Raw genomic sequence first — 19,176 nt, 5'->3', positions numbered from 1 at the left:
GACCAGCCTGGCCCAGCAGAAGATTCAAATTGCGGCCGGGCTTGGTGGCTCACACCTGTAATCCCAGCCCTTTGGGAGGCCGAGGTGGGCAGATCACCTGAGGTCAGGAGTTCAAGAGCAGCCTGGCCAACATGGTGAAACCCCATCTCTACTAAAAATACAAAAATTAGCTGGGCATGGTGGCAGGCGTCTGTAGTCCCAGCTACTCGGGAGGCTGAGGCAGGAGAATCAGTTGAACCCGGGAGGTAGAGGTTGCAGTGAGCTGAGATGGTGCCACTGCACTCCAGCCTGGGCGACAGAGCGACTCTGTTATCAATAAATAAATAAATAAAAATAAAAAAAGAAGATTCAAATTGTCCTCAATATCCCAGCGGCATGCAAGGTGCATCCCCCTACCCGGCCCTCCAGGCCTGGGCTCTGGCTCGCCACGTGTGCTGTGTGATTCTGGCTGAGACTTCGATCATCTCTGAGCCTGGTTTCCCCCACCTTTTTTTTTTTTTTTTTGAGACGGAGTTTCACTCTGTCGCCCAGCCTGGAGTGTAGTGGCGCAATCTCGGCTCACTGCAAGCTCCACCTCCCAGGTTCACGCCATTCTCCTGCCTCAGCCTCCCGAGTAGCTGGGACTATAGGCGCCCGCCACCATGCCCGGCTAATTTTTTATATTTTAGTAGAGACGGGGTTTCACCGTGTTAGCCAGGAGGGTCTCGATCTTCTGACCTCGTGATCCGCCCGCCTCGGCCTCCCAAAGTGCTGGGATTACAGGCGTGAGCCACCGCGCCCGGCCCTCCCCTTTTTTTAATTTGAGACAGTCTCGCTCTGTCGCCCAGGCTGGAGTGCAGTGGCGTGATCTTGGCTCACTGCAACCTCCGCCTCCTGGGTTCAAGCGATTCTCCTGCCTCAGCCTCCCTAATAGCTGGGATTACAGGCATGCGCCACTGTGCCCAGCTACTTTTTGCATTTTCAGTAGAGATGGAGTTTCACCATGTTGGCCAGGATGGTCTTGAACTCCTGACCTTAAGTGATCCACCTGCCTTGGCCCCCCAAAGTGTTGGGGTTACAGGCAAGAGCCACCAAGCCTGGCCTGGTTTCCTCATTTTGTGTCCAGCTTCTAGAGGGTCTGTGACAAGTCCCTGAAAGGCCTGGAAGCCCCGCCTCCCCAGTCAGTGTCATACACATGGGGTCATGTTTTTTTGTCTTTTTTTGTTTTTGTAGAGACAGGGGTCTTGCCATGTTTACCACGCTAGTCTCTAACTCCTGGCCTCAAGCGATCCTCCTGCCTCAGCCTCCTGAGTAGCTGGGGCCATAGGCACATGTTATCACACACAGCTAACTTTTAAAATTTTTTCTGTAGAAATGGGGTCTCACTATGTTGCCCAGGCTAGTCTCAAATTCCTGGCCTCAAGCGAACCTCCCAACTCAGCCTCCCAAAGGACTGGGATTAGAGGCATGAGCCGCTGCACCTGACCCACACAGGGCCTTGCTGAGGCTTGTGGGCTTGAAGAGGCTGAGTCACTTTCCAAGGACATCCAGTGTGTGAGTGGCATGGCTGAACCCTACTTAATATAAAGCCTGAAAGTGGCTCCGAGTAGGAAAGATCAGGTTCCTCAAAAGACTATTCTGGGGGTCTCGCAGCGTGGGAAGGATGCTATGCCTATTTCTGTAGAGCCCCACCGGATCTGGGGCGCTCTTCACTGTGGCTTTTTTTTTTTTTTTTTTTGAGACAGAGTTTCGCTCTTGTTGCCCAGGCTGGAGTGCAATGGTGCAATCTTGGCTCACCGAAACCTCCGCCTCCCAGGTTCAAGCAATTCTTCTGCCTCAGCCTCTGGAATAGCTGGGATTACAGGCATGTGCCACCAAGCCCGGCTAATTTTTTTGTATTTTTAGTAGAGACGAGGTTTCTCCATGTTGGTCAGGCTGGTCTTGAACTCCCAATCTCGGGTGATCTGCCTGCCTCGGCCTCCCAAAGTGCTGGGATTACAGATGTGAGCCACCGCGCCCGGCTTCATTCCGGCTTTGCTGAGCTAAGAGGGCCCAACGCTTAGCACCCTGGCCTGTGCACAGCTGGCTCACTGCTAAGTCCCACCTGAGCCTGGACCAGCCCTCCAGCCTTACATGTCCCGGGTCACAGCCTCAGGGACATCTGTGTGCCTTTCTCCACTGTCACCCCCAATGCTACATGTCTGTGCAGCCCAGGTGGCCCCAGGGACAAAGGTATGGAGGTCCCAACATTGGGCCTTGGTCATCTCTGGCCTTGATGGCCCTTGGCTATCGGAGAGCCCACGTGACATTATTATTATTATTATTTGAGACGGTGTCTCTACTGTTGCCCAGGCTGGAGTGCAGTGGTGTGATCTCAGCTCACTGCAACCTCCACCTCCCCATTTCAAGCAATTCTCATGCCTCAGCCTCCTGAGTAGTTGGGATTATAGACATGTGCCACCACACCCTGCTAATTTTTATATTTTTAGTAGAGATGGGATTTCGCCATGTTGGCCAGGCTGGTCTTGAACTTCTGGCCTTATGTGAACTGCCCGCCTAGGCCTTCCAAAGTGCTAGGATTACAGGCATGAGCCACCGTGCCAGACAAGGTGACTTAAGTAGCAAAAATTACCGCCTAGAGGCCGGGCGCAGTGGCTCAAGCCTGTAATCCCAGCACTTTGGGAGGCCGAGGCGGGCAGATCACGAGGTCAGGAGATCGAGACCATCCTGGTTAACATGGTGAAACCCCATCTCTACTAAAAATACAAAAAAAAGTTAGCCGGGCGTGGTGGCGGGCACCTATAGGCTACTCGGAAGGCTGAGGCAGGAGAATGGCGTGAACCCGGGAGGCGGAGCTTACAGTGAGCCTAGATCGCGCCACTGCACTCCAGCCTGGGTGACAGAGCGAGACTCCGTCTAAAAAAAAAAATTACCCCCTAGAGACCTGGGAAACGGAGCGGCGGGGCTTCCTCAGGGAGGTCAGGGAGCCCTGCCTGTGCCTTGTCCCCAGCAGAAGCCGAAGTCCCAAGAGAAACCCCAAACCCCTTCTTGCCTGAGCCGGCAAAATCGAAGACCAGGAGGCCTCTGGGACTCTCCCTGCACTGAGGCTGGGTCTGGGGCTTTCCCTGGGTTTGCACAGGACCAGTCTCATGGGATCAGGGCTGGCCAGCTCTGTGCCCCTGTCCCCAGTGGACAGTGCATGCCAGGGAGGTCCCCTCCTGTCCCCAGCACCTGGCACGGGGCAGCGTATGGGAGACACCTCAGGAAGCCCAGACAGCTGGGCCTGTCCCCCACGGGCCGGCTCAGGTTCCTGGCAAGCCCAGCAGTGGCAGAGATTTCTGGCTGAGGAGGGCCTGGTGATGCTGCGCGGTGGCTGTGATCGGATTTCCCCTTGGGCAGGCAGGCCCCGGGACTGCAGGAGCCCACGCCAGCTCAGGAGCACCAAGTGAACCCTGAATGCGCCCCACGGCAGGGCAGCGAGGCCAACTGCAGCCACCGAGCCTGGCTCTGCCTCTTCCCACTGGCCACTCCAAACCTCAGTTTACCCATCTGAAACATGGGGCTGAGAACAACAACCACATAGAGGCTGAAGGACTTGGTGGGCCCTTGGAAGCTCGCCATGAATGGTGGCCCTGGGCCAGGACCTGGATAATCATGTTCCAGAACATCCTGGTAATAGCCAAACCGTGTTAACTATAGGGCCAAGTCTCTCACTTTCCCTGGCCTCGGTTTACTCATCTGAGAAATGGGAGAGTCCCACTTGGCCGACAGGGGTGTGGGGTGCTTTTGATGAGGTGACGTGGGCACCACCCTGACACGCGCCCAGCACACAGTAGGCCCTTGGGGCCTCTGTCTTCCCTTCTCCTCTCTGGACTGGGGGTGGCCAGGAGGACAGGCTGAGCCCCAAGGCAGGTGAGCCAGTGGCCTCCTCAGTCAGCAGCTGCCCCGTCCGCCTGCACCTCCCAACACCTCCCTTTTCTCTCCTTCTCCACCCCTCCAAGGGGGCCTCACCCATACCGCCACTGCCCCACCTCCAAGGGACATTTTTTTAAATTTTTAAATAAAAAAGTGTGTGTGTGTGTGTGTGGTGGAGTCTTGCTCTGTTGCCTAGGCTGGAGTGCAGTGGTGTGATCTCAGCTCACTGCAACCTCCACCTCCTGGGTTCAAGCGATTCTCCTGCCTCAGCCTCCCGAGTAGCTGGGATTACAGGCACCTGCCACCATACCTGGGTAATTTTTGTATTTTTTTAGTAGAGATGGAGTTTCAACATGTTGTCCAGGCTGGTCTTGAACTCGTGACCACAAGTGATCCACCCACCATGGCCTCCCAAAGTGCTGGGATTACAGGTAGGAGCCAGTGCCCCAGACTATTTTATTTATTTTAAAACTTATTTTTTAGAGAAAGGGTCTCGCTTTGTCTCCCAGGCTGATGTGCAGAGGTACGATCATGGCTCACTGCAGCCTCAAACTGCTGGGCTCAGGCAATCATCCCTTTTTTTCTTTTCTTTTCTTTTTTTTTTTGAGATGGAGTTTTGCTCTTGTTGCCCAGGCTGGAGTGCAATGGCGCTATGTCGGCTCACTGCAACCTCTGCCTCCTGGGTCCAAGCAATTCTCCCACCTTAGCCTCCCGAGTAGCTGGGATTACTGGCATGTGCCGCCACGCCCAGCTAATTTTTGTATTTAGCCACCTACCTGCTTGCTGGGATTACAGGCGTGAGCCACTGTGCTTCGGCCTCCGTTCTTAGTTCTTCAGGCACCCCGAGGGGCTGAAGGATGTGAGCTCCATCCCAGCCCAATCACGTGTCCCCCATATCAGAACCACGGGTGGGAATCTTCACCCCACCTCAGAACAAGGGAGACTGAGGCTGAGAGGTGCCTGGCCTCCCAAGGGGCCTGCTTGCCTGCCTGCCTTCCTTCCTTCCTTCTCTCTCTCTCTTTTTTTTTTTGAGATGGAATTTCGCTCTTTGTCGCCCAGGCTGGAGTGCAATGGCGCGATCTCGGCTCACTGCAACCTCCACCTCCCGGGTTCAAGGGATTCTCCTGCCTCAGCTTCCCGAGTAGCTGGGATTACAGGTGCCCGCCACCACACGCAGCTAATTTTTGTATTTTTAGTAGAGATGGGGTATCACCCTGTTGGCCAGGCTGGTCTCGAACTCCTGACCTCAGGCGATCCTGCCCGCCTCAGCCTCCCAAAGTGCTGGGATTACAGGTGTGAGCCACCGTGCCCAGCCTCTCTTTCTCTCTTTGTCTCTTTCTTTCTTTTTCTTTAAGACTGAGTTTTGCTCTTCTCGCCCAGGCTGGAGTGCAATGGCGTGATCTCGATCTCAGCTGGCTGCAACCTCCACCTCCTGGGTTCAACTGATTCTCCTGCCTCCGCCTCCCGAGTAGCTGGGAATACAGGTGCCCGCCACCACACCCAGCTAATTTTTTGTATTTTTGGTAGAGATGGGGTTTCACCATGTTGCCCAGACTGGTCTTGAACTCCTGACCTCAGGTGATCTGCCCGCCTCAGCCTTCCAAAGTGCTGGGATTATAGGCATGAGCCACTATGCCCAGCTCCAAGGGGCATTTCTGAGGTCCCAGGCCAGGCAGGAGAGCGTCAGGGATAAGCCCAGCCAGCCAGGAAGGGGCGAGTCCCTCGCACTGACCCTGGGCCTGGACTGCAGACCCCGCCTCACTGGCCCCTCTCAGGGGCCACCTGGGAGCTAGGTAACCCCCTGCCCCTTTTCACAGCTGAGGGCAAGAGGCCCAGGGCAGGGAAGCCACTGCCTGGGACAGTCCTTAGCATGGGAAGGACCCACCCTTGGCCTGTGCAGCACCCCAAGAGGGTGTCAGAGCCAGGGCCTCGGGAACCCCACTTGACCTGAACTTGAACTTGCTACTGACCCCCATCTCTCCTGGCCCAACTTGTCACCCAGCTTCTGAGGCCCCACTCGGGACAACCAGAAGGGTCCTGAGTCCCAAGGGCTACCTTGGCCTCTAGGAGAGTGGTTGTGAGTCCCGGGGAGGATGAGGGTGCCCGCAGCCTCCCCCTCCAAGCGCCCACAGCCTAGGCCTGCAGGCCCCAAAGGATCCAGTTCCTCTCTGCACATGTGGTCTCTTTCTCATCTGGAGAAGGGGGAGAGCTGGCCCTACAGCAGATGGGTCCAGAGAAAGCAAAAAGCGTTCAGTGTGTGTGTGTGGTGTGTGTGTGGTGTGTGGGTGTGGGGTGTGTGTGTGGTGTGTGTGTGTGTGGTGTGTGTGTGGGATGTGTGTGTGTGGGGTGTGTGTGGTGTGTGTGTGTGGTGTGTGTGGGGTGTGTGTGTGTGGGGTGTGTGTGTGGTGTGGTGTGTGTGTGTGTGTGTGTGTGTGTAAGGGGGAAGCCCAGGAAACCGCATTTTCTTTTTCTGAATAATTCAATCAAATAAGCAAGTCCAGGAACTCCCTAGGAAGGCTGGAAGGGTTTCTCCGGGTACCCTGCGGGCTGGAGACAGAGGGTAGTTTTTAAGGATTTTTTAAAACTCTCCCAAGAAGTGTTAGAAGTTCCCACTTCCTCTGGGGCAGGGATTCCCCTTAGCCTGGTGCCTCTGCCAAGGAGCTGCAGAGGCCCAGGGCAGAGCTACTGAAGGCAGCCAAGTGACCACCCCAGGCTATGTCTGGAGGCCAGGTGTATGTGGGGACCAAGGCTCTGCTGGTCACCTCCTCTGAGGAGCCCTCCCTGACTGCTTTTCTTTTTTTTTTTTAGATGGAGTCTTGCTCTGTCGCCCAGGCTGGAGTGCAGTGGCACGATCTCGTCTCACCGCAAACTCCACCTCCCAAGTTCATGCCATTCTCCTGCCTCAGCCTCCCAAGTAGCTGGGACTACAGGTGCCCGCTACCATGCCTGGCTAATTTTTTATATTTTTAGTAGAGACGGGGTTTCACCGTGTTAGCCAGGATGGTCTGGATCTCCTGACCTCGTGATCCACCCTCCTCAGCCTCCCAAAGTGCTGAGATTACAGGCGTGAGCCACCACGCCTGGCCCCCTGACTGCTTTCTAAGCAGCACTCTCTGCTGCGTGCAGTGGCTCATGCCTGTAATCCCAGCACTTTGGGAGGCTGAGGCAGGTGGATTGCTTTAACCCAGGAGTTGGAGGCCAGCCTGGGCAAATGGCAAAACTTTGTCTCTACAAAACATTAGCTGGGCATGGTGGTACACACCTGTAGTACCAGTAAGTCAGGAGGCTGAGGTAGGAGGATCAATGGAGGCCAAAAGGTTGAGCCTGGAGTGAGCTGAGATTCCACCACTGCACTCCAGCCTGGTGACAAAGTGAGACCCTGACTCGAAAAATAAAAAAAAGCACCTTCCTTTTTTTTTTTTTTTTTTTTAAATATAGAGACAAGGTCTTGCTATGTTGCCCAGGCTGGTCTTGAACTCCTGGACTCAAGTGATCCTCCTACCTTGTCTTCCCAAAGTGTTGGGATTATGGGCGTGAGCCACCACACTCGGCCCAACACCCTCCTTTTTTTTTTTTTTTTTTTTTTTTTTTTTGAGACAGAGTCTCGCTCTATAGCCCAGGCTGGAGTGCGGTGGCACGATCTTGGCTCACTGAAACCTCCGCCTCCCAGGTTCAAGCGATTCTCCTGCCCCAGCCTCCCGAGTAGCTGGGACTATAGGTGTGCACCACCATACTCGGTTAATTTTTGTACTTTTAGTAGAGGTGGGGTTTCATTATGTTGGCCAGGCTGGTCTTAAACTCTTGACCTCGTGATCTGCCTGCCTCAGCCTCCCAAAGTGCTGGGATTACAGGCATGAGCCACTACACCCAGCACCCCCTAATACCTCATTCTGAAGGAAACCTGTTGCTTTTCCTCCTGATGCCATTAAACTTGTTGTTCTCTTGCTCTCTCTCTCATTTAAGATCTGTCTTAGGAATTGTGCTTGCTTTCTTCAGGGTGCTTTTCTCATTTCTCAAAACAGTGCCAGTTAACTCTGGAAGCATGTCCGGCTGGTCAGTGACGGTGTGCTGCATGCAGGAGCAGTGTGATCCAGGAGCTGCTCCAGGCAAAAGGCCCTTCAGCTCCTGGCTGTGCCCTTACTGGGTGATCCTGGCTGGGTCACTGCCCCTTTCTGAGCAGGAAACCTTCTGCTGTTAGAGTAGAAGAGGGAGGAAGTCATGGCAGGCTTCCTGGAGAAGGCAGCCTGAAGCTGGCCCTTAAGGCTGAGAAGGTGGCCAGGAGGCAGAGAGACCCCACTCTGTTTTATTTTAAAAAATAAAATAGGCTGGGCACGGTGGCTCATGCCTGTAATCCCAGCACTTTGGGAGGCTGAGGCGGGCGGATCACAAGGTCAGGAGATGGAGACGGAGACCATCCTGGCCAACATGGTGAAACCCCGTCTCTACTAAAATACAAACAAAATTAGCTGGGCGTGGTGGCACGCGCCTGTAGTCCCAGCTACTCAGTAGGCTGAGGCAGGGGAATCGCTTGAACTCGGGAGGTGGAGGTTGCAGTGAGCTGAGATGGCACCATTGCACTCCAGCCTGGTGACAGAGGGCGAGACGCCATCTCAAAATAAATAAATAAATAAATAAATAAATAAATAAATAAATAAATAAAGGCCGGGTGTGGTGGCTTACACCTGTAATCCCACCACTTTGGGAGGCCAAGGCAGACGGATCACCTGAGGTCGGGAGTTTGAGACCAGCCTGGCCAACATGGTGAAACCCCATCTCTACTAAAAATACAAAATTACCTGGGTGGGGTGGTGGGTGCCTGTAATCCCAGCTACTCAGGAGGCTGAGGCAGGAGAATCGCTTGAACCCGGGAGGCAGAGGTTGCAGTGAGCCAAGATGGCGCCATTGCACTCCAGCCTGGGCGACAGAGCAAGACTCTGTCTCAAAAAAGGAAAAAATAGGCCACGCACGGTGGCTCACGCCTGTAATCCCAGCACTTTGGGAGGCCGAGGCGGTCGGATCACAAGGTCAGGAGATCGAGACCATCCTGGCTAACACAGTGAAACCCCGTCTCTACTGAAAATACAAAAAATTAGCCGGGCGTGGTGGCGGGCGCCTGTAGTCCCAGCTACTGGGGAGGCTGAGGCAGGAGAATGGCGCGAACCCAGGGGGGTGGAGCTTGCAGTGAGCGGAGATCGTGCCACTGCACTCCAGCCTGGGTGACAGAGCAAGACTCCAGCTCAAAAAAAAAAAAAAAAGGAAAATAAATAAATAAATAAATAAACTATCCAGGCATGGTGGCTCACACCTGTAATCTCAGCACTTTGGGAGGCTAAGGTGGGCAGATCAGCTGAAGTTAGGAGTTTGAGACCAGCCTGGCCAACATGGTGAAACTCCATCTCTACTAAAAATACAAAAAAAAAAAAAACTAGCTGGGCGTGGTGGTGCGAGCCAGTAGTCCCAGCTACTCAGGAGGCTGAGGCAGGAGAATCGCTTGAACCCTGAACCCGGGAGGCAGAGGTTGCAGTGAGCTGAGATTGTGCCACTGCAGTCCAGCCTGGGCGACAGAGCAAGACTCCATCTCAAAACAACAACAACTAAAAACGAACAACAACAACAACAAAAAACTGAGGCCAGGTGCAGTGGCTCACACCTCTAATCCCAGCAATTTGGGAGGCTGAGGTGAGAGGATCACTTCAGCTCAGCAGTTCGAGACCAGCCCAGGCAACACAGGGAGACAGACCCTGTTATATTGCAGAGAGACCCCATCTCCACAAAATATAAAAATATTAGTCAGATGTGGTGGCATCCCTGCCGTCCCAGCTACTCAGGAGGCTGAGACAGGAGGATCGCTTGAGCCCAGGAGGTCAAGGCTGCAGTGAGCTGTGATCATGCCACTGCACTCCAGCCTGGGCCACAGAGCTAGACCCTGTCTCTAAAATTTTTAGAGACCTTATCTCTAAAAATAAATTAAATAAATAAACCGGGAGCACCTACTTTTTCTTTTTCTTTTACTTTTTTTTTTTTTTTTTGGAGACAGGGTCTCTATCACCCAGGCTGGAGTGCGGTGGCATGATCTTGGTTCACTGCAGCCTCGACCCCTCAGGCTCAGGCAGTTCTCCCACCTTAGCCTCCCCAGTAGCTGGGACTACAGGCACATGCCACCATGCCCGGCTAATTTTGTCTTTTTTTTTTTTTTTGGTAGAGACAGGGTCTCACCATGCTCCTCAAAACTCCTGGACTCGAGAGATCCTCCTGCCTCGGCCTCCCAAAATGCTGGGATTACGGTGTGAGCCGCTGTGCCCGGCTATTTTATTTTTAAATGAATAAAAGCTGGAGCACCCAACTTTTTTGTTGTTGTTTTTCTGAGACAGAGTTTTGCTCGTCACCCAGGCTGGAGTGCAGCGGCGCAATCTCGGCCCACTGCAACCTCTGCCTCCCGGGTTCAAGCGATTCTCCTGCCTCAGCCTCCTGAGTAGCTGGGATTACAGGCACGCGCCACTATGCCCAGCTAATATTTTGTATTTTTAGTAGAGACAAGGTTTCATCATGTTTGCCAGGCTGATCTTGAATTTTTGACCTCAGGTGATCCACCCGCCTTGACCTCCCAAAGTGCAGGGATTACAGGCGTGAGCCACCACGCCCAGCCTGGAGCACCTAATTTTTAAATTTAATTTTTCTTTTCTTTTTTTTTTTTTTTTGAGACAGGGTCTTCCTCTGTCATCCAAGCTGGAATGCAGTGACTTGATCATAGCTCACTATAACCTTGACCTTCCACGCTGAAGCAATGCTCCTGCCCCAGCCTCCCAATTAGCTGGGAGTACAGGCACGTGCCACAACACCCAGCTGATTTTGTAGAGATAGGATCTCCCGTGTTGCCCAAGCTTGTCTCCAACTCCTGGGCTCGAGCGATCTTCCCTCCTCGGCCTCCCAAAATGCTGGGATTACAGGTACAAGCCATCACACCCCAGTGGGAGAGACCCCACTTGCTGCCACGTGACCATGGGCTGATGGTGTCCTCTCTGGGCCTCAGGTGATAAATTCTGAGGAGGGAGGTAGGGCCCAGGAATTCCGACTTTCAAACAGCCTTTGGACTCAGGCCTTGGGGACATTCCAGGGGACCCTTTACCAGGGAGGGGCAGTGTGAGGCAGGAGGCAGGGCTGCCGCCTCAGGGACCCTGAGGCTAGAGTCCTTCCCACCGCATTTGGGGACTTGAGCACTTCACCAGTCCTGACTCAGTTTCCTAGTCTGTGAATGGGGGTGTGTCTCCTGGAATGTTGCCCCCCCTCATTCATTCATTCTCCTCTCACTGAGCACCTACCGTGTTCAGGGTCCCTGTCCTCCTAGAGCTAACTCAAGTCTTGGAGGGAAGCTCTGTCTCAGTTCCTTCCTCTACAAAATGGAGCTTGAGGACGGGCACGGTGGCTCATGCCTGTAATCCCAGGACTTTGGGAGGCTGAGGTGGGAGGATCGCTTGAGCCCCCCGGAGCTGGAGACCAGCCTGGGCAACATGGTGAGAAGCCATACCTCTACAGATAATTTAAAAATTAGCCAGGCTTGGAAGTGTGTGCCTATAGTCCCAGCTACTCGTGAAGGCTTTGAGCCCAGGAGGTCGAGGCTGCAGTGAGCTGTGATCGCACTCCAGCCTGGGCATCACAGCAAGACCTTGTATCAAAAATAGTAATAATAATAAAAAGGAGGTTGGATTCCCTCCTGGCAGGATAGGGAGGGCGCTGCAGTGCCCAGGGCAAGGTGGCTGGGTGGTTGTTTTGCGGGAGGGCCAAGGAGTGGTCCCTGGGTCTGCGCTGTAAGAGTTGGTTGCCTGGAGGCCTTGCAGGGTGGGGGTGTCACCAAAGCAAAGGCTTGGAGGGGAAAAAACAAAAGTCCCAGCCAGGCAGGTGGAGTCCCCTTGGCTGAGTTCAACCGAGGGTTCTCCGGGGGCTGCGTGCGTGCCCCAGTGACAGCTCCGAAAGCTCCCTTACAGGGCAAAGTTCCCAAGCACAGAAGAGAACCTGTTCACTTCTCCCCTGCTCGGCCCGCCCCCTGGCCAGGCACCTCTACTTCCTCTTTTCCTGCTCCGCTGCTTGCTTTCTCTCTTCAGCTCCTCCCTGCCCCTCACCCCAGGCTGCTCGGCCACCTCCAACCTGCCACCTGAGGACACCCAGGCAGTCACTCATTCAACAGCGAGGAGCCCTGGGGTGGGTGTAGTGGGAAGGAGTGGGGGTGACGGAGACCCTGGGAGGGCTCGCAGCCTGGTGGCTGAGGCCCAGTTCTAAATGCCAGCTGCAAGCCTTGGTCTGAGGTAGGGAGGAAGGCGTGGCTGCAGAGGCTAAAACGCTTCCCCAAAGAGGGGCTTTCTGGGATGGGACTTGAAGGGTGCATAGGAGAGCACTAGGAAGTGGCCGCTGCAGACAGAGGGAACCACAAGCCAGGAGGACAGGCCAGGAATGCTGCAGCCCGGGGCGGGGTGGGGCTGGAGCTCCTGTCTCTTGGCCAGCTGAATGGAGGCCCAGTGGCAACACAGGTCCTGCCTGGGGATCAGGTCTGCTCTGCACCCCACCTTGCTGCCTGGAGCCGCCCACCTGACAACCTCTCATCCCTGCTCTGCAGATCCGGTCCCATCCCCACTGCCCACCCCACCCCCCCAGCACTCCACCCAGTTCAACGTTCCACGAACCCCCAGAACCAGCCCTCATCAACAGGCAGCAAGAAGGGCCCCCCGCCCATCGCCCCACAACGCCAGCCGGGTGAACGTTGGCAGGTCCTGAGGCAGCTGGCAAGACGCCTGCAGCTGAAAGATACAAGGCCAGGGACAGGACAGTCCCATCCCCAGGAGGCAGGGAGTATACAGGCTGGGGAAGTTTGCCCTTGCGTGGGGTGGTGATGGAGGAGGCTCAGCAAGTCTTCTGGACTGTGAACCTGTGTCTGCCACTGTGTGCTGGGTGGTGGTCATCTTTCCCACCAGGCTGTGGCCTCTGCAACCTTCAAGGGAGGAGCAGGTCCCATTGGCTGAGCACAGCCTTGTACCGTGAACTGGAACAAGCAGCCTCCTTCCTGGCCACAGGTTCCATGTCCTTATATGGACTCATCTTTGCCTATTGCGACACACACTCAGTGAACACCTACTACGCGCTGCAAAGAGCCCCGCAGGCCTGAGGTGCCCCCACCTCACCACTCTTCCTATTTTTGTGTAAAAATCCAGCTTCTTGTCACCACCTCCAAGGAGGGGGAGGAGGAGGAAGGCAGGTTCCTCTAGGCTGAGCCGAATGCCCCTCTGTGGTCCCACGCCACTGATCGCTGCATGCCCACCACCTGGGTACACACAGTCTGTGATTCCCGGAGCAGAACGGACCCTGCCCACCCGGTCTTGTGTGCTACTCAGTGGACAGACCCAAGGCAAGAAAGGGTGACAAGGACAGGGTCTTCCCAGGCTGGCTTTGAGTTCCTAGCACCGCCCCGCCCCCAATCCTCTGTGGCACATGGAGTCTTGGTCCCCAGAGTCCCCCAGCGGCCTCCAGATGGTCTGGGAGGGCAGTTCAGCTGTGGCTGCGCATAGCAGACATACAACGGACGGTGGGCCCAGACCCAGGCTGTGTAGACCCAGCCCCCCCGCCCCGCAGTGCCTAGGTCACCCACTAACGCCCCAGGCCTTGTCTTGGCTGGGCGTGACTGTTACCCTCAAAAGCAGGCAGCTCCAGGGTAAAAGGTGCCCTGCCCTGTAGAGCCCACCTTCCTTCCCAGGGCTGCGGCTGGGTAGGTTTGTAGCCTTCATCACGGGCCACCTCCAGCCACTGGACCGCTGGCCCCTGCCCTGTCCTGGGGAGTGTGGTCCTGCGACTTCTAAGTGGCCGCAAGCCACCTGACTCCCCCAACACCACACTCTACCTCTCAAGCCCAGGTCTCTCCCTAGTGACCCACCCAGCACATTTAGCTAGCTGAGCCCCACAGCCAGAGGTCCTCAGGCCCTGCTTTCAGGGCAGTTGCTCTGAAGTCGGCAAGGGGGAGTGACTGCCTGGCCACTCCATGCCCTCCAAGAGCTCCTTCTGCAGGAGCGTACAGAACCCAGGGCCCTGGCACCCGTGCAGACCCTGGCCCACCCCACCTGGGCGCTCAGTGCCCAAGAGATGTCCACACCTAGGATGTCCCGCGGTGGGTGGGGGGCCCGAGAGACGGGCAGGCCGGGGGCAGGCCTGGCCATGCGGGGCCGAACCGGGCACTGCCCAGCGTGGGGCGCGGGGGCCACGGCGCGCGCCCCCAGCCCCCGGGCCCAGCACCCCAAGGCGGCCAACGCCAAAACTCTCCCTCCTCCTCTTCCTCAATCTCGCTCTCGCTCTTTTTTTTTTTCGCAAAAGGAGGGGAGAGGGGGTAAAAAAATGCTGCACTGTGCGGCGAAGCCGGTGAGTGAGCGGCGCGGGGCCAATCAGCGTGCGCCGTTCCGAAAGTTGCCTTTTATGGCTCGAGCGGCCGCGGCGGCGCCCTATAAAACCCAGCGGCGCGACGCGCCACCACCGCCGAGACCGCGTCCGCCCCGCGAGCACAGAGCCTCGCCTTTGCCGATCCGCCGCCCGTCCACACCCGCCGCCAGGTAAGCCCGGCCAGCCGACCGGGGCAGGCGGCTCACGGCCCGGCCGCAGGCGGCCGCGGCCCCTTCGCCCGTGCAGAGCCGCCGTCTGGGCCGCAGCGGGGGGCGCATGGGGGGGGAACCGGACCGCCGTGGGGGGCGCGGGAGAAGCCCCTGGGCCTCCGGAGATGGGGGACACCCCACGCCAGTTCGGAGGCGCGAGGCCGCGCTCGGGAGGCGCGCTCCGGGGGTGCCGCTCTCGGGGCGGGGGCAACCGGCGGGGTCTTTGTCTGAGCCGGGCTCTTGCCAATGGGGATCGCAGGGTGGGCGCGGCGGAGCCCCCGCCAGGCCCGGTGGGGGCTGGGGCGCCATTGCGCGTGCGCGCTGGTCCTTTGGGCGCTAACTGCGTGCGCGCTGGGAATTGGCGCTAATTGCGCGTGCGCGCTGGGACTCAAGGCGCTAACTGCGCGTGCGTTCTGGGGCCCGGGGTGCCGCGGCCTGGGCTGGGGCGAAGGCGGGCTCGGCCGGAAGGGGTGGGGTCGCCGCGGCTCCCGGGCGCTTGCGCGCACTTCCTGCCCGAGCCGCTGGCCGCCCGAGGGTGTGGCCGCTGCGTGCGCGCGCGCCGACCCGGCGCTGTTTGAACCGGGCGGAGGCGGGGCTGGCGCCCGGTTGGGAGGGGGTTGGGGCCTGGCTTCCTGCCGCGCGCCGCGGGGACGCCTCCGACCAGTGTTTGCCTTTTATGGTAATAACGCGGCCGGCCCGGCTTCCTTTGTCCCCAATCTGGGCGCGCGCCGGCGCCCCCTGGCGGCCTAAGGACTCGGCGCGCCGGAAGTGGCCAGGGCGGGGGCGACCTCGGCTCACAGCGCGCCCGGCTATTCTCGCAGCTCACCATGGATGATGATATCGCCGCGCTCGTCGTCGACAACGGCTCCGGCATGTGCAAGGCCGGCTTCGCGGGCGACGATGCCCCCCGGGCCGTCTTCCCCTCCATCGTGGGGCGCCCCAGGCACCAGGTAGGGGAGCTGGCTGGGTGGGGCAGCCCCGGGAGCGGGCGGGAGGCAAGGGCGCTTTCTCTGCACAGGAGCCTCCCGGTTTCCGGGGTGGGGGCTGCGCCCGTGCTCAGGGCTTCTTGTCCTTTCCTTCCCAGGGCGTGATGGTGGGCATGGGTCAGAAGGATTCCTATGTGGGCGACGAGGCCCAGAGCAAGAGAGGCATCCTCACCCTGAAGTACCCCATCGAGCACGGCATCGTCACCAACTGGGACGACATGGAGAAAATCTGGCACCACACCTTCTACAATGAGCTGCGTGTGGCTCCCGAGGAGCACCCCGTGCTGCTGACCGAGGCCCCCCTGAACCCCAAGGCCAACCGCGAGAAGATGACCCAGGTGAGTGGCCCGCTACCTCTTCTGGTGGCCGCCTCCCTCCTTCCTGGCCTCCCGGAGCTGCGCCCTTTCTCACTGGTTCTCTCTTCTGCCGTTTTCCGTAGGACTCTCTTCTCTGACCTGAGTCTCCTTTGGAACTCTGCAGGTTCTATTTGCTTTTTCCCAGATGAGCTCTTTTTCTGGTGTTTGTCTCTCTGACTAGGTGTCTAAGACAGTGTTGTGGGTGTAGGTACTAACACTGGCTCGTGTGACAAGGCCATGAGGCTGGTGTAAAGCGGCCTTGGAGTGTGTATTAAGTAGGTGCACAGTAGGTCTGAACAGACTCCCCATCCCAAGACCCCAGCACACTTAGCCGTGTTCTTTGCACTTTCTGCATGTCCCCCGTCTGGCCTGGCTGTCCCCAGTGGCTTCCCCAGTGTGACATGGTGTATCTCTGCCTTACAGATCATGTTTGAGACCTTCAACACCCCAGCCATGTACGTTGCTATCCAGGCTGTGCTATCCCTGTACGCCTCTGGCCGTACCACTGGCATCGTGATGGACTCCGGTGACGGGGTCACCCACACTGTGCCCATCTACGAGGGGTATGCCCTCCCCCATGCCATCCTGCGTCTGGACCTGGCTGGCCGGGACCTGACTGACTACCTCATGAAGATCCTCACCGAGCGCGGCTACAGCTTCACCACCACGGCCGAGCGGGAAATCGTGCGTGACATTAAGGAGAAGCTGTGCTACGTCGCCCTGGACTTCGAGCAAGAGATGGCCACGGCTGCTTCCAGCTCCTCCCTGGAGAAGAGCTACGAGCTGCCTGACGGCCAGGTCATCACCATTGGCAATGAGCGGTTCCGCTGCCCTGAGGCACTCTTCCAGCCTTCCTTCCTGGGTGAGTGGAGACTGTCTCCCGGCTCTGCCTGACATGAGGGTTACCCCTCGGGGCTGTGCTGTGGAAGCTAAGTCCTGCCCTCATTTCCCTCTCAGGCATGGAGTCCTGTGGCATCCACGAAACTACCTTCAACTCCATCATGAAGTGTGACGTGGACATCCGCAAAGACCTGTACGCCAACACAGTGCTGTCTGGCGGCACCACCATGTACCCTGGCATTGCCGACAGGATGCAGAAGGAGATCACTGCCCTGGCACCCAGCACAATGAAGATCAAGGTGGGTGTCTTTCCTGCCTGAGCTGACCTGGGCAGGTCGGCTGTGGGGTCCTGTGGTGTGTGGGGAGCTGTCACATCCAGGGTCCTCACTGCCTGTCCCCTTCCCTCCTCAGATCATTGCTCCTCCTGAGCGCAAGTACTCCGTGTGGATCGGCGGCTCCATCCTGGCCTCGCTGTCCACCTTCCAGCAGATGTGGATCAGCAAGCAGGAGTATGACGAGTCCGGCCCCTCCATCGTCCACCGCAAATGCTTCTAGGCGGACTATGACTTAGTTGCGTTACACCCTTTCTTGACAAAACCTAACTTGCGCAGAAAACAAGATGAGATTGGCATGGCTTTATTTGTTTTTTTTGTTTTGTTTTGGTTTTTTTTTTTTTTTTGGCTTGACTCAGGATTTAAAAACTGGAACGGTGAAGGTGACAGCAGTCGGTTGGAGCGAGCATCCCCCAAAGTTCACAATGTGGCCGAGGACTTTGATTGCACATTGTTGTTTTTTTAATAGTCATTCCAAATATGAGATGCGTTGTTACAGGAAGTCCCTTGCCATCCTAAAAGCCACCCCACTTCTCTCTAAGGAGAATGGCCCAGTCCTCTCCCAAGTCCACACAGGGGAGGTGATAGCATTGCTTTCGTGTAAATTATGTAATGCAAAATTTTTTTAATCTTCGCCTTAATACTTTTTTATTTTGTTTTATTTTGAATGATGAGCCTTCGTGCCCCCCCTTCCCCCTTTTTTGTCCCCCAACTTGAGATGTATGAAGGCTTTTGGTCTCCCTGGGAGTGGGTGGAGGCAGCCAGGGCTTACCTGTACACTGACTTGAGACCAGTTGAATAAAAGTGCACACCTTAAAAATGAGGCCAAGTGTGACTTTGTGGTGTGGCTGGGTTGGGGGCAGCAGAGGGTGAACCCTGCAGGAGGGTGAACCCTGCAAAAGGGTGGGGCAGTGGGGGCCAACTTGTCCTTACCCAGAGTGCAGGTGTGTGGAGATCCCTCCTGCCTTGACATTGAGCAGCCTTAGAGGGTGGGGGAGGCTCAGGGGTCAGGTCTCTGTTCCTGCTTATTGGGGAGTTCCTGGCCTGGCCCTTCTATGTCTCCCCAGGTACCCCAGTTTTTCTGGGTTCACCCAGAGTGCAGATGCTTGAGGAGGTGGGAAGGGACTATTTGGGGGTGTCTGGCTCAGGTGCCATGCCTCACTGGGGCTGGTTGGCACCTGCATTTCCTGGGAGTGGGGCTGTCTCAGGGTAGCTGGGCACGGTGTTCCCTTGAGTGGGGGTGTAGTGGGTGTTCCTAGCTGCCACGCCTTTGCCTTCACCTATGGGATCGTGGCTGTCAGCCTTGAGGGTCAGCCTGGCCCAGGCTCCCATAGGCTTAGGAGAGGCCGCAATTCCTACCTGTTCATCCAGACAGAGGGGGACCTGGAATCAAAGTCAAGTTGGGGTAGGGGGTCCATGGGGCCATATCTGGCCTGCAGACAGCTCTGGTTAGCTATGGGCTGAGGTCTGGATTCTGCCTTGTGACTGGAGACTGGGCGCCATCCCGTGGCCTCTGAGGGCCCAGTTTGTTCGTGACCCATGCTGCAGAGGGAGATACCCAGGCTCCTGGACCTCAGGGCCTGCCTGGCACTGCAGGCCAGGTTCTCTTTTTATTTCTGAGACGGGGTCTTGTGTTGCCCAGGCTGGAGTGTAATGGCACAACCATGGCTCACTGCAGCCTCAACTTTGGGCTCAAGCAATTCTCCTGCCTCAGCCTCCCAAGTAGCTGAAACTACACAGGCATGCCCCAGCACGCCCAGCTAGTTGCAGGTCAGATTCTCATTGTTCTACAGGGCCCTGAGTTAAATACTCTCGCAAGAAGAAACCAAGCCTGGCCTGCCTTCCCTCTGCTAGAAGCTGTGATTGACACCAGCAGAGAATGAAGGAAGAAAAGGGGGTGAGGATCCCTTGCAGGGATGCCGTTTACCCCAAACACCACCTGGTGCATAGCAGTTGTTCTGGAAATGATCCGGTCCCCCCAGGAGGCCTGGACTCTCAACTGTGCACAGTGGCCTACTGGCAGAGAGGAAGGTGGTACCCTTCCTCCTGTGTTATCTTGGAGGTCCCCTGAAGGGCTCTCTGGGGTGGTTCTAGCTCTTTTGGTCTGATTTCTGCAGTGGTGAGCCCTGGGCCACCTTGGGCCACT

General features: G+C 56.8%; 1 protein-coding gene across 1 annotated transcript, besides 19 other annotated features; it reads left to right on the top strand.

Moving 5' to 3' along the window:
• Nucleotides 3,038-3,087: an enhancer, noted in NCBI's record as "active region_25598". NCBI's record gives its function as "activates an Ori minimal core promoter by ATAC-STARR-seq in GM12878 lymphoblastoid cells {active_cell/tissue: GM12878}" and the evidence as "EXISTENCE:reporter gene assay evidence [ECO:0000049][PMID:35858748]".
• Nucleotides 3,178-3,227: an enhancer, noted in NCBI's record as "active region_25597". NCBI's record gives its function as "activates an Ori minimal core promoter by ATAC-STARR-seq in GM12878 lymphoblastoid cells {active_cell/tissue: GM12878}" and the evidence as "EXISTENCE:reporter gene assay evidence [ECO:0000049][PMID:35858748]".
• Nucleotides 10,554-11,423: an enhancer, noted in NCBI's record as "H3K27ac-H3K4me1 hESC enhancer chr7:5573209-5574078 (GRCh37/hg19 assembly coordinates)". NCBI's record gives its function as "activates a minimal SCP1, AML or CMV promoter by ChIP-STARR-seq in naive H9 embryonic stem cells {active_cell/tissue: H9 hESC(naive)}" and the evidence as "EXISTENCE:reporter gene assay evidence [ECO:0000049][PMID:30033119]".
• Nucleotides 11,633-11,682: an enhancer, noted in NCBI's record as "active region_25596". NCBI's record gives its function as "activates an Ori minimal core promoter by ATAC-STARR-seq in GM12878 lymphoblastoid cells {active_cell/tissue: GM12878}" and the evidence as "EXISTENCE:reporter gene assay evidence [ECO:0000049][PMID:35858748]".
• Nucleotides 11,943-12,022: an enhancer, noted in NCBI's record as "active region_25595". NCBI's record gives its function as "activates an Ori minimal core promoter by ATAC-STARR-seq in GM12878 lymphoblastoid cells {active_cell/tissue: GM12878}" and the evidence as "EXISTENCE:reporter gene assay evidence [ECO:0000049][PMID:35858748]".
• Nucleotides 12,983-13,262: an enhancer, noted in NCBI's record as "active region_25594". NCBI's record gives its function as "activates an Ori minimal core promoter by ATAC-STARR-seq in GM12878 lymphoblastoid cells {active_cell/tissue: GM12878}" and the evidence as "EXISTENCE:reporter gene assay evidence [ECO:0000049][PMID:35858748]".
• Nucleotides 14,023-14,352: a silencer, noted in NCBI's record as "silent region_17919". NCBI's record gives its function as "represses an Ori minimal core promoter by ATAC-STARR-seq in GM12878 lymphoblastoid cells {active_cell/tissue: GM12878}" and the evidence as "EXISTENCE:reporter gene assay evidence [ECO:0000049][PMID:35858748]".
• On the top strand, nt 14,400-17,853 carry ACTB (actin beta). Its single transcript, NM_001101.5, has 6 exons — nt 14,400-14,477; nt 15,338-15,466; nt 15,601-15,840; nt 16,282-16,720; nt 16,816-16,997; nt 17,110-17,853. The coding sequence occupies exons 2-6, from the start codon at nt 15,344-15,346 to the stop codon at nt 17,251-17,253; spliced, it is 1,128 nt and encodes a 375-aa protein (NP_001092.1). The 5' UTR covers nt 14,400-14,477; nt 15,338-15,343; the 3' UTR covers nt 17,254-17,853.
• Nucleotides 14,453-15,362: a silencer, noted in NCBI's record as "silent region_17918". NCBI's record gives its function as "represses an Ori minimal core promoter by ATAC-STARR-seq in GM12878 lymphoblastoid cells {active_cell/tissue: GM12878}" and the evidence as "EXISTENCE:reporter gene assay evidence [ECO:0000049][PMID:35858748]".
• Nucleotides 14,453-15,773: a biological region, named in NCBI's record as "NANOG-H3K27ac-H3K4me1 hESC enhancer GRCh37_chr7:5568859-5569728".
• Nucleotides 14,749-15,446: a silencer, noted in NCBI's record as "fragment chr7:5569186-5569883 (GRCh37/hg19 assembly coordinates)". NCBI's record gives its function as "represses an EF-1alpha promoter that drives an FKBP-Casp9 reporter gene in an ReSE screen in phorbol 12-myristate 13-acetate-treated (for megakaryocytic differentiation) K562 erythroleukemia cells {active_cell/tissue: K562(+PMA)}" and the evidence as "EXISTENCE:reporter gene assay evidence [ECO:0000049][PMID:32094911]".
• Nucleotides 14,904-15,773: an enhancer, noted in NCBI's record as "NANOG-H3K27ac-H3K4me1 hESC enhancer chr7:5568859-5569728 (GRCh37/hg19 assembly coordinates)". NCBI's record gives its function as "activates a minimal SCP1, AML or CMV promoter by ChIP-STARR-seq in primed H9 embryonic stem cells {active_cell/tissue: H9 hESC(primed)}" and the evidence as "EXISTENCE:reporter gene assay evidence [ECO:0000049][PMID:30033119]".
• Nucleotides 15,413-15,622: a silencer, noted in NCBI's record as "silent region_17917". NCBI's record gives its function as "represses an Ori minimal core promoter by ATAC-STARR-seq in GM12878 lymphoblastoid cells {active_cell/tissue: GM12878}" and the evidence as "EXISTENCE:reporter gene assay evidence [ECO:0000049][PMID:35858748]".
• Nucleotides 15,774-16,643: an enhancer, noted in NCBI's record as "NANOG-H3K27ac-H3K4me1 hESC enhancer chr7:5567989-5568858 (GRCh37/hg19 assembly coordinates)". NCBI's record gives its function as "activates a minimal SCP1, AML or CMV promoter by ChIP-STARR-seq in naive and primed H9 embryonic stem cells {active_cell/tissue: H9 hESC(naive and primed)}" and the evidence as "EXISTENCE:reporter gene assay evidence [ECO:0000049][PMID:30033119]".
• Nucleotides 15,774-16,692: a biological region, named in NCBI's record as "NANOG-H3K27ac-H3K4me1 hESC enhancer GRCh37_chr7:5567989-5568858".
• Nucleotides 16,423-16,692: an enhancer, noted in NCBI's record as "active region_25593". NCBI's record gives its function as "activates an Ori minimal core promoter by ATAC-STARR-seq in GM12878 lymphoblastoid cells {active_cell/tissue: GM12878}" and the evidence as "EXISTENCE:reporter gene assay evidence [ECO:0000049][PMID:35858748]".
• Nucleotides 16,644-17,514: an enhancer, noted in NCBI's record as "H3K27ac-H3K4me1 hESC enhancer chr7:5567118-5567988 (GRCh37/hg19 assembly coordinates)". NCBI's record gives its function as "activates a minimal SCP1, AML or CMV promoter by ChIP-STARR-seq in naive H9 embryonic stem cells {active_cell/tissue: H9 hESC(naive)}" and the evidence as "EXISTENCE:reporter gene assay evidence [ECO:0000049][PMID:30033119]".
• Nucleotides 16,853-16,902: an enhancer, noted in NCBI's record as "active region_25592". NCBI's record gives its function as "activates an Ori minimal core promoter by ATAC-STARR-seq in GM12878 lymphoblastoid cells {active_cell/tissue: GM12878}" and the evidence as "EXISTENCE:reporter gene assay evidence [ECO:0000049][PMID:35858748]".
• Nucleotides 16,913-16,972: an enhancer, noted in NCBI's record as "active region_25591". NCBI's record gives its function as "activates an Ori minimal core promoter by ATAC-STARR-seq in GM12878 lymphoblastoid cells {active_cell/tissue: GM12878}" and the evidence as "EXISTENCE:reporter gene assay evidence [ECO:0000049][PMID:35858748]".
• Nucleotides 18,662-18,971: an enhancer, noted in NCBI's record as "active region_25590". NCBI's record gives its function as "activates an Ori minimal core promoter by ATAC-STARR-seq in GM12878 lymphoblastoid cells {active_cell/tissue: GM12878}" and the evidence as "EXISTENCE:reporter gene assay evidence [ECO:0000049][PMID:35858748]".

This window comes from Homo sapiens, chromosome 7 (assembly GCF_000001405.40).
Source record: "Homo sapiens chromosome 7, GRCh38.p14 Primary Assembly".
In the NCBI taxonomy this organism is placed as follows: Eukaryota; Metazoa; Chordata; class Mammalia; order Primates; family Hominidae; genus Homo; species Homo sapiens.
The sequence above is the reverse complement of the archived record's forward strand: the minus strand, read 5'-3'. Positions and strand labels throughout refer to the sequence as shown.

Coding starts and splice junctions, on each gene's coding strand:
- ACTB (NM_001101.5), top strand. CDS start 15,344: ATGGATGATGATATCGCCGCGCTCGTCGTCGACAACGGCTCCGGCATG. Junction 16,721..16,815: donor CTTCCAGCCTTCCTTCCTGG/GTGAGTGGAGAC, acceptor TTTCCCTCTCAG/GCATGGAGTCCTGTGGCATC. Junction 16,998..17,109: donor CCAGCACAATGAAGATCAAG/GTGGGTGTCTTT, acceptor TTCCCTCCTCAG/ATCATTGCTCCTCCTGAGCG.